This window comes from Homo sapiens, chromosome 4 (genome assembly GCF_000001405.40).
Source record: "Homo sapiens chromosome 4, GRCh38.p14 Primary Assembly".
Classification (NCBI taxonomy): Eukaryota; Metazoa; Chordata; class Mammalia; order Primates; family Hominidae; genus Homo; species Homo sapiens.
The window spans coordinates 183,292,620-183,308,906 of record NC_000004.12 but is presented as its reverse complement, the minus strand read 5'-3'; the positions used below and the strand labels follow the sequence as shown (position 1 = coordinate 183,308,906).

Below are 16,287 nucleotides of genomic sequence, written 5' to 3'. Positions count from 1 at the left end.
CCACATCCATGGATTCAACCAACCATGAATAGAAAATATTTGGGAAAAAAATGGATGGTTGCAACTGTACTGACATTGTTTTTCCTTGTCATTATTCCATTAATGACATTATTATTACTACATTATACTGTATTACTACTGTCATTAAATATAGCATAACAATTATTTACATAGTATTTAAATTATAACAGGTGTTATAAGTTATCTGGAAATGATTTAAAGTGTATGGGAGGATGTGGGTTATATGCAAATACTATACCATATTATATAAAGGACTTGAGCATCTGTGTCCATGGGGAGTCCTGGAACCAATCCCCACCAAGGATGTTGAAGGATGACTGTATATTTAAGTGGGTCAATCTATTTCTAGGCTCTCTGTTCTGATTTGTCTATTTTTTCACCAATACCACACTGCCTTGATTACCATAGCTTTACAGTAAGTCTTGAAGTCAGGTAGCGTCAGTCCTCCAACTTTATTCTTCTTCAATACTGTGTTGGCTATTCTGGGTCTTATGCCTCTCCATATAAACTTTAGAATCAGTTTGACTATTACATAATAACTTGATGGGATTTTGAGTGGAACTGCATTAAATCTATAGATTGATTTGAGAAGTACCAACATCTTGACAATACTGAGTCTTCCTATACATAAACATAGAATATTTTTCCATTTATTTAGTTCCTTTTACATTTTCTTTCATCAGAGTTATGCAGTTTTCCTCTATAGACCTTATACATATTTTGTTAAGATTTACAAGTATTTCACTTTTTGGATACTAATGGAAACGGCATTGTTTTTAATTTCAAATTCCACTAGTGCATTGCTGGTATATAGAAAAGTGATTAACTTTTGTATATTAACCTTATATCCTACAACCTTGTTATAATCACTTATTAGTTCCCAGAGTTGTTTCTGTTTGTTAGGTTTGTGGTCAAATCTTTCAGGTTGCCTACATGGACAACCATCTTATGTGCAAACAAAGACAAACAAAGACAATGCTGACGTCCTTCCCAAGCGGGATACCTTTTTTTCTTTTCTTATTGCATTAGCTAAGATTTACAGTGTGATACAGAAAAGAAGATGTGAGAGGGACAGTTTTACTCCGTTCCTAGTCTTAGCAGGAAAGCTTCTAGTTTTTCAGCATTAAGTATGATGTTAGTTGTAGAGTTTTCTACATGTTCTTTAAGGTCCCTTTTATTCCTAGTTTGCTGGGAGTTATTTTTAGCATGAGCAGGTGTTGATGTGATTCACTACAATAATTGATTTTGAATGTTAAATCAGCCTTGCACACCTGGGATAAATCTCCCTTGGTCATGGTATATAATTCTTTTTCTATATAGTTGGATATGATCTGCTAATATTTTGTTAAAGATTTCTGCATCTATGTTCACAAGAGATATAGGGCTGTAGTTTCCTTGTCTTTGCCTGGTTTTGCTATTAGGATAATGCTGGCCTCACAGAATAAGTTGGGAAGAATTCTCTTTGCTTCTGTTCTCCAAAAGAGATTGCAGAGAGTTGATAAAGTTTTTTTCCTTAATTGTTTGGTAGAGGCCAGGCACTGTGACAGACTCAGTGGCTGTCCTCCAAAATCCTACAAATTTTGATTAAGTTGTTTTTCATTTAGTTCAAAATATCTTTTAATTTTTCTTAAGATTTCTCCTTTGACCCATCTGTTATTTAGAAGTGTGCAGTTTAATCTCCAAGTATTTTGGAATTTTCCAGCTACGTTTGTTACTGATTTCTAGTTTAATTCCACTGTGGTAAAAACAGACAGTGTAAATATGTATCTTATGGCCTGGACTGTGGTCTATATCTTGGTGAATGTTCCAATTGAGCTTAAGCAGAGTGTGCCATCTGTTGTCATTAAATGAAGTACTCTATAGATGTCAATTATATCCAGTTAAGTAATAGTGCCGTTGAGTTCAACTATGTCTGCTGATTTTCTGCCTGCTGGGTCTGTTTATTTCTGTCAGAGGATAATAATGAATTCATCCACTTCTCCTTGTAGTTTTTTTTTTTTTTTTGCCTCATATATAGTTGGTGCTGTTAGTCACATAGATGTCTAAGAATTGTTATCCTGGTCGGGCACAGTGGCTCATGCCTGTAATCCCAGCACTTTGGGAGGCCAAGGCAGGCGGATCACCAGAGGTCAGGAGATCGAGACCAGCCTGGCCAACATGGCAAAACCCCGTCTCTACTAAAAATACAAAAATTAACTGGGTGTGGTGGCGTGCGCCTATAATCCCAGCTACTCAGGAGGTTGAGGTAAGAGAATCACTTGAACCTGGGAGCCTGGGTGACAGAGCGAGACTCCATCTCCAAAAAAAAAAAATTGTTACCCCTTCTTGGATAATTAATCTCTTTATTATTCATTATGTCATACTTTTTTTTTAAATCCTGGATAACTTTTCTTGCTCTGAAGTCTGCTCCATCTGAAATTAATATAGCTACTCCCACTTTCGTTTGATTAGTATTAGCATTGTCTACTTTTAGTCCATATGTGTTTTATGTTTAAAGTGGGCTTCCTACATACAAAATACAGCTGGTTCTTTTTTGATCAACTCTGACAAACTGTTTTTTAATTGGTATATTCAGACCACTGATGTTTACAGTGATTAATGAAACAGCTGGAATAATATCTACCAATTTGTTACTGTTTTCTATTTGCTGCCCTTGTTGTTTGTTCCTATGTTTGTCTTCTACTCTTTCACTGCCTTTTGTGGCTTTAATTGAGGACTTTATATAATGTCAATTTTCTCTCCTTTCTTAGCATGTCATTTATATTTCTCTCTTATTTTTTCTAGTGGTTGCTCTGGAGTTTGTATTATACTATCCAAATCCACTTCCAAATAACATTATACCACATCATGAGTAGTACAAGTACCTTATAATAACAAAATATCCCTCATTCTTCCCTCTTGTCCCTTGCATCATTGCTGCCACTCATTTCACTTATACGTAAGCATACACACACGTGTATGTAACTGAATACACTGTTGCTATCATTACTTAGAATTATTTATGTGATTAAGAATAAGAAAAATTCTTATTTTACCTTGGTTTATTCCTTTTTCAATGCTCTTCCTTTGTTTACATAGATCCATGTTGCTAACATATCATTTTCCTTTTCTCTGAAGAACTTTTAACATTTCTTGCTAGGCAGGTCCACTGAGCACAAATGTCCTTAATTTTTGTTTGTCTGAAAAAATATTTATTCTCCTTCACTTTTGAAGAATAATTTTGTGTTTGGGTACAGAATTCTAGGTTGGTTTCTTTTTCCTCTTAACAATTTAAATTATTGCATCTCACTCTCTTCTTGCTTGTATGATTTCTCAGGAAGAGTCACATATAATACTTGTCTTTGTTCTCCTGTAAGGAAGCTTTTTTCCCCCTCTGGCTTCTTTCAAAATTTTTTAATTTTTAATTTTCTGCAGTTTGGATATGCTTAGGTGTAATGTTCTGTGTGTGTGTGTGTATTTATTTTGCTTGGTGTTTTATGAGTTTTCTGGCTCTGTGGTTTAATGTTTGACATTAATTTGGAGAAAGTCTCAGTCATTATTCCTTCAAATATTTCTTCTGTTCCCTTGTCTTTCTTCTGGTATTCCTATTAAACACATTGTACATCTTCTGTAGTTGTCCCACAGTTCTTGGATGTTCTGTTCCTTTTTTTTTCTCCAGTCTCTTTTCTCTTTGCTATGCAGTTTTGAAAGTTTCTATTGACATATCCTCAAGAGTTCAGATATTCTTTCTTTAGTCATGTCCAGTGTGCCCGTGAGTCCATCAAAGTTATTTTTCATGTCTGTTACAGTGTTTTTGATCTCTAGGACTTCTTTTTGATTCTTGCTTAGAATTTCCACCTCTCTCCTTATGATGTCCATCTGTTCTGGCATATTGCCTCCTTCTTCCCTTATAGCCCTTGGCATACTAACCACAGTTAGTTTAAATTCCTGGTCTGATAAGTCCAGCATCCCTGCCATGTGTGAGTCTGGTTCTGATGCTTGTTTTGCCTCTTTAAACTCTGTTTTTTGCCTGTTAGTAGGCCTTATAATTTTTAGTTCAAACCCAGACGTAATATACTAGGTGAAAGATATTCTGGCAAACAGCCTTTAGTTTTGTGGTAAGATGGGGGTAAAGAAGGCAAGTGTTCTATAGCTCTATGAACAGGTTTCAGTCTTTTAGTAGGCCTGTGCTCCTGGGCTACGAGTTTCACAAGTGCTTCTCAGTCTTTCCCCCTCCTTAGGTGGAACAGAATATCTAGGATGGGCTGGAGTTGGGTACTCCCCTTCTTCCACATGGAAGACTAGAGGGGGCTAGAGTTGAGTATTTCCCTTACCAAAGTCAGTTAAGTTCTGACAATATAGTTTCTCCTGAGGGCAGGCCTTGCTGAAAAGAACAGAATGCTTTTGTGTGTTTCAAATGGCTACTTTTTTCCTCCCTCTGTCAGAATCAGGGCAAGATTTTTCTTCGACATCCATCGTGAGGACCCAGTCAAGCTCCTGGAAGTAAAACTAACAAAAGTGTGGAGAGCCCCCGACTTCTCATGACTGGGTACTCCTGCAGTTTTTAACTCTCAGACTTCTCTGTAGTGAGCCTCCAGCAGTATGTTAATTACAGTTTAGGTTTTCTTACCCCAGTATCGGTTCCTGCAGAGGTCACTGCTCATAGGTTCTTACTCCAGTAAGTTGTGATTCTTTGTTCTGCTTGCCTGTCTCTCCAATTCTGGGGGCAGTAGTTTGCCCTATGACCTCACCTCTCTAACTGATCTAAGAAGAATTGATTTTTCATTTTGTTCAATTTTTTTACTTGCTGTTAGATTGAAGACTTCAAACTCCTTATATGTTGGACCAGAAACCAGAAGCCTGTAGCTTTTAATGATTTCATAACATTCTACTTAGTAGCTACAGCTTAATTATCTAACAAACCCTCTACAATCACCTATTTAAATTATTTCTAGGCTGCGATGTTCACTCAAGTGGGATTTAACATTTAAAAATCTTGGTAAATGAACATGTGGCTATACTAGATTTCGAGATAAATAAATGCAGGCATGTACTATATAGTTTAAAAAAACTCTCCACAATAAGCCTACATCAGTGTATTCATATAACTGTTTATATTACTCCATTATCAGGGAAAAACTAATGTTAATCTGTACTTTGAGTTTTAAAAACACCTAATATTGTAAAATACTGAATAAAGCTTCCCTGATATAAAATCCAAATTTATGTTTATTTATCATTAAGTATTAAATAGAAAGACAATTCTTTAGCTATGTAAACAAACGGTGAAATAGAAAATAAGGCTTAAATTGTGAATGTGCTACTTGTTACTCCTCCTACACTCATATTAGAAAGTTATGTAATTCACGGTGAGGACTGTCGTCATGGGGTAAAAGGGCCACGATGACTCTGTTCCCCATTTGCTGTCCTCCACCCAAGGCACTGACTCCCTCTTGTAGGTATGCTAAGAGGCTGCCTAGTTATTAACTTAGGATATGGGTCAAGGTTTGCCTTGGTGGCTGAGATGTTTACACTGGGCCCAAAAGCTTCAGGAGGGCAAAGGATGAGTCTGTTTAACATAATTCATAAAGGCTCAAGTGCTCAATACAATTTTTGAACCAGCAGTTTATTTCTGACAACTGTCTATATTTGCAGAAGTTACTTGCAACGCTGTCTTACAAAAGGAATTAATTAAATCAAATGGTTGGAGACTTCATTATATAATACATATCCATTTAATGAGGGGGAGTGGTTTCGTCTTAAATCAATCTTGCCAATACATACTCAAAAACAGTTGTTATCTCCATCTGACAGATACACAAATCCTTTTTTTTTTTTTTTTTTTTGAGATGGAGTCTCGCTCTGTCACCCAGGCTGGAGTGCAGTGGCACGATCTCAGCTCAACCTCCCCACCTCCTGGGCTCAAGCAATTCTCCTGCCTCTGCCTCCAGAATAGCTAGGATTACAGGCGCTTGCCATCATGCCCAGCTAATTTTTACATCTTTAGTAGAAACGGGGTTTCACCATGTTGTCCAGGCTGGTCTTGAACTCCTGACCTCAAGTGATCTACCCGTCTCGGCCTCACACAATGCTGGAATTACAGGCATAAGCCAATGCACCCAGCCTCTATCTGACAGACATACAAATCTAATTTATTTGTGTCTTGAGGGACAGTGGGGTCTTACAAATATGTGAGTTGGCTTCTGTCAATTTTTTGGAAGGCTACTTTAAGAGAAGGCATTCTAAGCAAAATCTCTGCTGCGAATACAGGGTAACTTTCCTGTTCACTTTCCCTCCCAATTCTCACTGGGGATGTTGGGGAAACTAAGCTAACAGCAGTGCTTTGAGAAGCTGCCTCTTACTGTACCTGACAGAGAGAGAGAGAGATCGACGTCGACATTGACTCAGGCAAAGGTCTAAAGGTGGTGGGTAGCCTGTGCCTGCAATCTAAGCTGATGGATAGTCCCACAATTGCGATGCTTCTAGACTTGAAAAGCCAACTGCTTCTGTTATGACTTAAGCAGTTAGAAACATTAGAAGGAAATAAGACTGGTGCTGGCAAAAAGGGCAATTAAGGACCTTGTCATCCCACGTGCATCCACTGCTTCAGACACCTTTAAGGCCAGGAAATCAAACAAGGTCTTCAGGCTTAAAAGGCTCGACAAAGACAAGATCTTTGACTATGGTTCACGGCCAAACTGATACTATCAGCAATTCTCTTACTAAGAATTTATGCTTTAGGAATACTAGTGTGACCAGAAAGGTACAAAAATATGCATAAAAGTGTGTGTTTCCACATTGTTTATAATAGAAAATTTGGGAAATTGTTATTAGAATAATTAAATAACTGTGATAGAGCTATACAAATGAATGCATTAAAATAATGAGTTACAGTAACATTTACTAATATGGAAAGCTGTTCATCACATACTATTAGAATTAAGTGAGGGAAAGAAGCAAATTTCAGAACAATCTATCTTTATGACCCCATTTTTGTATAACTCTTTCAAATAACACTAACACACATGTTGCATAAAAAAATAGCTGGAAGGACATACACCAATTTGTCAACAGTGGTAACCTCTGGGAAGTACAACTCCAAGAAGGACTTCTAGTTTTTGCTTTATATAGTTCTGCATCACCTGAATTTGTTATAATAACCATGTGTTACTTAAGCATTTAAAAAAAATTAAAATATTCTCAAAGCAAAAATATCCTAAACTCACTTTAAATCTGCAAATAAAAATACTGTGGCACTTTTAGGAAAGATGAGCTTTTATGAAAACTCTTTATTCAGCAAATACTTATAAAGAAACAATTATACTCACACTACTTTATGGAAAGCTAAATAACCCACAATGGGGCATCCCTAGTACTTTGCTAATCATCATCTACTGCAATAAGTTTTGATTTTTTTTCATCACACAGTGTCTTTTTCCAGGTATTTTTTTTTACTGCCCCCTATTTCCTCTCCCTGGTTTGAAAGGGTTTGTCTATAAAAGCAGCCTATATTTGTTAAGTAACAGTTCTCTCTTGATTACTTTGTAATTGATGAGATAATTTAATTGCCAGCTGGAGCTTGTGAATTTATGTGATTCAAATACAAGGGTGACAAATGTGATATTTTAGTTACTTTGTGAAGTCCTATCTTTAGTAAATGGATAATTTTTCATTAGGTCCCAGATAAGGAACTGTTGACTTAGTACACACTGAGAAATGACTTCTATCTTGCTATGGTATGTCAAATTACTAAATTAGTAAATATACTAAAAATTTTGCTGCTATTCAAATTCTTCATGAAATACCATAAGAAAAAAAATCACTCTTAAAACAGACATCTGTTGACTGATTTAACAAGGGATATATCACGAAAAGTCAGGGAAGGAAATGAATCATGCATAGGTAAGAAAATCCAACCCACTTTTCTTACCTAGAAGTGATTTTATCAGATAGGAAATAAGACAGGCTCGCAGGATCCTGTTCCGTCTTTGCCACCTTCCACAGGAATAGAACGCAGAGGATCCTATCCCTTGCAGAGAAGTCTTTTGGCAGTCCCTCTAAGTAGTGTAATGGCTGCTGATGTTTTCAACTTCTAGCATTTCTATGGTGACTACAAAATTACTTTGAAACTTGGCTTTGTTTTATAAAAAAAAAAAGCTGACCAGGGAACACCGGAAGATATTTCCTTCCCTGCTGAGTAAGAATATACTTTACTGAAGACTGTATTTGTCTCTATGTTTTTATATTTATATCTGTATCTATACCTATATCTTTCTCCACAAATTAGGTGGCAAAACATATAGAATTATTATCAGCTGCTAATAATCAATACCAAACAATTTTGTAGGTAGACCTCAATGCTGAATACTTTTCTGTAATCATTAAGATTTTTTGAATGCAGTGTATTAATATCTTTGGCATAATTTTAAAAATAGATCTAACTTTTAAGAGTGTTAACATTTGCATTATTTTAAGCTTTACAAAAAATCTAGCAGTTCTGCAGTCTAGCACCATAAAATTTTGGCATTTTGACAGGGAAACACTCTATGGAAAAAAAAAAAAAAAGAAATTCCTGCTTTGTAAGGACCACGAGGCTCCTCTGGAAGAACCCCAGTCCTCTCTCGGCATGCTTTTCCCTCACCCAACGAATCACGATAAGATGCCGGGCTTACGAGGCCTGGGAGCCACTTGGAATGCTGAGGACTCCAGAAGGGTGTGATTCACCTCCAGTTTACATGATGGGAGCCCAACCTGCAGAGAGGCCCAGTGATTTATTCATAGTTGTGTTAAGAAGCCTAATGGAATAAAAAGCACAATCCAGTCTTAATTTACAGTCCTCAGCTTCTTGCTCTGCTTCCTGAGGGGGTTTTACAATACACGAGGACACCAAATAAGATTCTCTTTTTTATTCTGAGCTACAAAACAGACTTTGGGCCACAAAGGAGGAAGGTTAAGGAGTGTGACCCTGAGACCTGACAGTTTTCCTTGACAAGGGAGGCAGATCCAGGATCTGCTGCTGGCTTCGATTCATTGCTTTTCTGGGAGCCATATTTTTTATGGCAATTGGCAGGCTCTTTGCTCATCCTTAGGCACTTTATGGTCATCTTGCTGAAAACCTCACAAATCCCCAATACCACAGGGAAATGATGGAGATGAAAGGGCAATGTGTGAGTGTGGCAGAGTTAGTGTGTGTGTGCCATGTGTGCAGGTGCTGGTGTACCCATGTGTATGTTAACAAATGACTGTGGAAGTGAGGAGGAAGCAGGTGAGGGAAGTCAGTGGTGATCATGAGTTTCTGTCGCTATAATGAAAGGCACACAATGGAAAGTTTGTTTTTTCAAAAAACTGGTTTTTGCAAATTTCACTGGTGAGAAAAGTACACAACTCAAACAGTTTATGTATCCACAGAGTTGTTAAAAATAACGATAAAAACCCTCTGCACTAGGGAGAATCAAATCATTTTGAAAGCAGGATAAATGCACCTTGTTTTGTGAGCTTTTTTCACTATTGCTTGATGTGAAACTGCCAGTAGCAGAAGGAAGCAAAGACGGAGGGGCAGCGGGCTTGGCATCTGCTACGGGTTGAATGTTTTTCCCCCCAAAACTCAAGCTGAAATTCAATTGCCATTGTAACGGTATTGAGAGGTGGGACCTTTGAGAGGTGAGTAGGCATGAGGGCTCCACTCTCATGTGTGGGTGTAATACCCTAATCAAATAGCTTTTTTGGGAGTGGGATCTCTCTCCTGCCTCCTACCCTCCACCATGGGATGACACAGCAAGAAGGGCCTTGCCAGCTGCAGCCTCTGGATCTTGGACTTTCCAGCCTCCCGAACTGTGAGAAATAAATTTTTCTTTATAAATTACCCAGTCTGTGGCATTTTGTTATAGCAGCACAAAATGGACTAAGACAGCATAGTTTCCTACAGTGTGATAAAAAATCTGCTCTGCATAACCTGTGTAAGACTGCACTCTGAGTATCCTGATATGAAAAACTTCCAGGAATCACATTTCACCTGGGACTTCAGAATTATCAAAGTACTGCATGTACCCTAAAGGTTCAGTTCCTTTAGGCCATGCAGACTTCAATTTCCACAAATCTCTCTGAATCCTTATTTATACTGAAAGCACATTAGACTTGATCTCAAATAGATCACAAAATTCTGTAACTAGAAGGGATTCTGGTGGCTATCTACTTCAATCCTCTTAATTCATAGGTGAGTATATAAAATCCTATTAGTGCATGGGAAAAACATAAGCCACAGGTATGGATACTTTTATGGTATTTTATAAGGCTGGTTTGTTTTCATTTACCTATTTTCTGATGGGAAGAAGAAAGAAGTTGTGAGGGAAAGGAATGGGGAAGGGTAATGAGAAAGTGAAGCCACAACAGCATCTAAGATCTGACTCTGACACCACAAGCACTCATGGGTCTCCTGGCCTTGCTGTTATAGTCTCTTTTCACTTGGACCCTAAACAGGGACCTCAGGTGTATACCAATGGCTCTTTCCCTGGGTATCATCAGGCTAGCTAAAGAGTTTTGGCCCTATCTTGGGTATAAAAAGACAGCATTTTGTATATGAGGTTCAACTCCTCTGACAAAGGAGTTTTATACTGAACTGTTACCGGCATCCCCAAGATGTTCACAGTAGTGATCTAGAAAAACAATAGCTATGGCATGGAGAAAGCTGAATACAAATTATTAAGACTGTCAGGTTTACCAGCCCTTAATTTTATTTAGATGTATCTTCATGTTTTGTTAAGCTGAAATTTTCTTAGCAAGAACTAGAAAACACACATTCTCATTCTGAATAAGAGACCTCTAACATATCAGCTCAAATCCTCTTGACCTTTCCCAAATGCCCTTGCAGTCATCAACTCTGCAGGGTCTGGTGGACTTCATGAAGGTATAACTAGTGTCTCCCCTTATGTCCCTTCTCTGGCCCCTGCCATGGCCTTTCTGTTGAAGCCAACATGTGCCATGAGATTGTCTGGCAGCCATATGTGCACATGGGTAGAACAATTCTTCCTCATTTCTCCTCTGAGTTATGACTGTGAGATGTGGTTAGCATGGCCTTTGGGTGCTGGTCCCAAGGGAGCAAGCAGGCAGCACACTAGCGGCCATCTCCTCCCTTGTCTCTCTTCAGCTCCCCTGGGCTGCACCCTCTTAGTGAAGCAGTAGAACAGAAGTGTTTATCCCAGGCCAGGTGCGGTGGCTCACGCCTGTAATCCCAGCACTTTGGGAGGCCAAGATGGGCAGATCACCTGAGGTCAGGAGTTCAAGACCAGCCTGGCCAACACAGTGAAACCCCATCTCTACTAAATATAAAAAAATTAGCCGGGAGTGGTGGTGCGCGCCTGTAGTCCCAGCTACTTGGGAGGCTGAGGCAGAAGAACTGCTTGAACCCGCGAGGTAGAGGTTGCAGTGAGCTAAGATTGTGCCATTGCACTTCAGTCTGGGTGACAAGAGTGAAGCTCCATGTCAAAAAAAAAAAAAAAAGTGTTTATCTCAGGCTCTACCACAATCATAACAGAAAGATCCTTAGGATCTTCTTTCCCTCATTATCTTGGTATGCAAACTAATTTTAAAACCAACTAAGTGCTGGTTCATCAGATAATAAAGATCACAAATCCTCTAGGCTGGGTGTGGTGGCTCACACCTGCAATTCCAGCACTTTGGGAGGCCGAGGAGGGAGGCTTGCTTGAGATCAGGAGTTTGAGACCAGCCTGGGCAATACAGTGAAACCCGGTTTCTACAAAAAAATAAAATTGGCTGAGTGTGGTGGTGTCTGCCTGTGGTCCCAGCTACTCAGGAAACTGAGGTGGAAGGATTGCTTGAACCTGGGAGGTTGAGGCTGTAGTGGGCTGTGGTCACACCACTGCACTCCAGCCTAGGTAACAGAGGCCCTGTCTCAAAAAGAAATCCTCTATTAAGAAATAATTTTTTTTTTTTTTTTTTTTTTTTTTTTTTTTTTTTGAGACGGAGTCTCGCTCTGTTGCCCAGGCTGGAGTGCAGTGGTGCGATCTCGGCTCACTGCAAGCTCCGCCTCCGGGGTTCACGCCATTCTCCTGTCTCAGCCTCCCGAGTAGCTGGGACTACAGGCACCTGCCACCATGCCTCGCTAATTTTTTTGTGTTTTTAGTAGAGAGGGGGTTTCACCGCGTTAGCCAGGGTGGTTTCGATCTCCTGACCTCGTGATCCGCCCGCCTTGGCCTCGCAAAGTGCTGGGATTACAGGCGTGAGCCACCGTGACTGGCCTTAAGAAATAATTTCTAAGCAAGATCATCTATGTAAGGATGATTCTAATCATCGTCAGAAACTTACTACAAGGCCAGAATTATGCACAGGTATCATTTAGTGACTGAACAACTACAAATTAATATAAAATAAAGCACTATTTTACAAAGGAGAGTTCTAAAGTGTCACTCTTTTTCAGACAGTTTCTAACTGGAACAAGGCCTGCTTGTATCCTTCACTGGGCAAAACAAAGGAGATCTTGGCTCTCTCAAATCTTTGCACTCTTGATCCAAATTGAACAGTCCCATGATCTTCGAATTATTCCTGGGCAGTTCTGAGCCCAAGCGACCAGTTTTTACACCATCTAAGAGAGTACTGCCATGTGGGTGCCAGAAGGCCTGTTTTGTGAGCAAAATACAACCAATGTGGCATTAATGTTACCTCTACTGGCAAGGCCAACTTCACTTGGCTTTGTACACAAGTATGTTGGGTTGTGGTGACATTTTAAAAGAATCAAAACCCTCACCCAGCTATGGCAGCACCTTTATGAAGACACTGGCTCTGAGGCAGGCACAGGAAGTGACGGCACCCGTCAGGTATGTTAGCCAGCATCATTTTTAGGCGGTGCCCTGCAATAGGAATAATTAAATGCTGACAATTAGGAGATGAAAGTGAAAAATACCACCCATGTCACACACTTGGTTGCACTGAATGACAGAGATGACAGCTCCCAAAGAGGTCACTTACAAGGCAATTTAGTTCAACCTTACACTATGTCTGAGAAACATGCCTCACATTCCTATCATTATTTCTGTCACTGAGAACAGAATGATAGGTCGGTAGATAGGGACGAAAACAAACAAACAAGGGGTGTCAGGGATCTCGGCACCCTGGGAAGAATGAACTGGGCACCTTTCCTCTCGCGCTGCCATTCTTTTCCTAGATTACGCCTGTGAACATCGTATGAGATGCTGGGAACAAAAACAGCAGAAAACTGTTTCAGAACAGTCTGCCAAAAGAGTTGAGGGTTGATTTCAAAACTGTGTTGTACATAAGGTCTCTAAGAAATACTGATTTGATCTGATAATATCCCTAGACCCTGATATTCCTGAAACTTGGTCCCAGCGTCACCAAGGCACAGCTGGACCAAGGGTTCCCTGAGGACAGGGCAGGGGCCCTCACATGGCCAAGCTACGCTAAGGCCACAGACAGTGCCCACCAGTCAGATTCTCATCACGTTTTACAGGCTGTATTGATCTATTCACCAGTAAGCCCCAGGGTGAAATCCTCTATTCTAGTGGTGAGCAGGAGACAAGCAAAACTCAAAAAAGGGCTAAAATCATGGCTGGTCAACAAGATGAGCAGCTTGAATGAGGCAAAGGGGACTTCTCCAAGGTTGGATGGAACATCTTCTAAGGCAGTGGAATACCAAAGGAAAAAAAGTAGCCTCGCTGCTTCCCTAGGGAGTTTACACTCCAGGCTGAAGGAGCATAGGAGTTCGAGAGGAAGGATTTCATTAGGAGGTGTGTGTGTGTTTTTACAGAAAATATGTCTGCTCAAGTTTCCCAAGAAACTCCTTCTTAATTTTTTTTTTCAGCTGGAAACAAACACACTTCTTGACTGGCTCATTAAAGGACAAATCATTAAAATGAACATGTGTGCCTCAAACATCAACTCTTACTTGCCTGCCAGTTTTCAGAGACTCTGAGCAATGTGTCTGCCTTGATGATTTCCTTGGGTTGTTGGGTTCTAGACTCCTACTTTACATCTACTTTACCTAGAGCAAATCCAAACATTTCTTTAGTGTAGGAGAAAACAAAGGTCACTCTATCAGCCCCCAAACCTTGAACCATTCATCAACAACAGTAAAAATCTTAGCAGAATTCTACAATGAAAGACAATAAAAAAAAAACACTCAGGAAAACAGTATATTTATGGTACTTTTCAAAGAAGGTCTTCATCTTCTTTTTCAATCAGTGTTAGACATACTGTTCGGATCTGCCAAAGTCTCTCTCACTTTATCTCATGAGAAAATGTCTGGCGCTGGGGACTAGGAAGGAGCCTCTGGCTCTAGCCATGGTCACTTATACTACTGCCACACTGTCTTTCCAGAGAACACTTTAGAAACTTCACAGCTCCCCTATTACTTATGCATCACACATCAATACTCCACACAGATACCACCCTCATCACACAGCAACACTGTTTCTAGAGAGCTCTGTATTCATGCCATGACCAATCTCTTAATTTCTCCACAAATTCCCACTATTTTAGCAGTTTAATAAATTTGTAGGGCAAGTCCCTCTCCTTGTTATTCTTTTCCAAAGTACCTTGGCTATTCTTTGACCTTTACTTTTTCATTAACTGCATCAGTATCCATGAAGAACCATGTGGGTATTCTGCTTGGAATTCCATTGACTCTATGGTACATTTTAGAAAGAATTGGCCATCTCCACATTATTAATTCTTCCTCTGTATCAGCAGTTGGCAAACTATGGCCTGCCCTGTTTTTGTAAATAAAGTTTTATTGGAATGCAAATACATCATTTATTTCCATTTTATCTATGGCAGAGCTGAATAGCGGCAACAGGGATCATATGGCCCAGAGCCTAGAATATTTAACATTAATATTTAATTATAATACAATTACATTATATCATAGTATAATTTGATATAATATTTAATATATGGTCATTTATAGGAAAAGCTTACAGACCCCTGCTCTACATGGATGTAATAAATTCTCCATGAATTTGCTTTTACATTTCTTCTAAGTTTTGTAATTTTCTCTATACTGTACGGTTTATTTTTGTTAAATTTATTTCTTGATATTTGATATTCTTTGATACTGTTGTAATTATCTTAATTAAACGTCTAGGTGTTTCTGGTTGGTGTAAATAAATGCAACAGACTTTTAGATATCATTCTATTCACCCACCTTGCTAAACTCTTACTATTTATAATAACTTACAAATTTTTTAATGCATGCAATGTCACCTGTAGATAATGGCAGCTTTATTTCTTTCCAGTCTTTTTGCTACTTTTTTTCTTGCCTTATGGCACTGTTTAGGAACTCCTAATACAATGTTGAATGGAAGAATATTGAATGTCTTGTGTTTGATTTTAAAGAAAGTGATTCTAATGTTTACCTATTTATGATCACATTTACTTTAAGTTATTCTTTATCAAGGTGAGGAGCTTCCTGTCTCTAACTTACTGGGATTTTTAAACATGAAGGAGCACTGACTTTTCTCAATACTTTTCTGAATCTATTGAGTTGACCAAATGATTTTTCTCCTTAATCTGTTAAAGTAATGAATTATATAAATATATTTCCTAGTATTAAAAATTTTCTTAGACATTTTGACATGGTCAACATGTATTTTTTTAATTCACTGTTTTCTAATATTAAAAAACCTGCCAGGTGTGGTGGCTCATGCCTGTAATCCCAGCACTTTGGGAAGCTGAGGTTGGTGGATCACCTGAGGTCAGGAGTTTGAGACCAGTCTGGCCAACATGGCAAAACCCTGTCTCTACTAAAAATACAAAAATTAGCTGAGTGTGGCGGTGTGCACCTGTAGCCCCAGCTACTCTCCAGCTGAGGCAGGAGAATCTCTTGAACCCGGGAGGCAGAGGCTGCAGTGAGCCGAGATCGTGCCACTGCACCCCAGCCTGGGTAACAGAGCGAAAGAAACACTGTCTCAAAAAACCAAACCAAAGAAAACAAAACCTTTGTACAATTCAACATAGTCAACATGTACAATCTTTTTAATACAGTGTTGGATTCTGTTTACCAATATTTTTTAGTCAGGATTCTTGCATCTACACTCATAAATGAAACTGGCCTGGCCTGCGATTTTCCTTTTGATAGAATCTTTATCTAGTGTTGGCATTAACATAAAATTAGTTGTGGAAGTGTTCTCTCTTTTTCTAGTGTCCGGAAGAGTTTGTATAAAATTGAGGTAATTTCTTTTTTGAAAGTGTGGCAGAATTTGTACAAAGCATCCAGAACTTATATTTTCTTTGTGGATAGATTTTTAATCACTGCTTCCA

General features: G+C 38.9%; 1 protein-coding gene across 4 annotated transcripts in view, besides 1 other annotated feature; it reads right to left on the bottom strand.

Moving 5' to 3' along the window:
* Nucleotides 1-16,287, bottom strand: part of WWC2 (WW and C2 domain containing 2) — a 221,521-nt gene that overhangs the window by 11,871 nt on the left and 193,363 nt on the right. The gene's annotated exons all lie outside the window — the stretch shown is intronic.
* Nucleotides 12,801-14,000: an enhancer, noted in NCBI's record as "P300/CBP strongly-dependent group 1 enhancer chr4:184216060-184217259 (GRCh37/hg19 assembly coordinates)". NCBI's record gives its function as "activates an origin of replication core promoter dependent on BRD2, BRD4, P300/CBP, MED14 and CDK7 cofactors, with strong dependence on P300/CBP, by STARR-seq in HCT116 cells {active_cell/tissue: HCT116}" and the evidence as "EXISTENCE:reporter gene assay evidence [ECO:0000049][PMID:35650434]".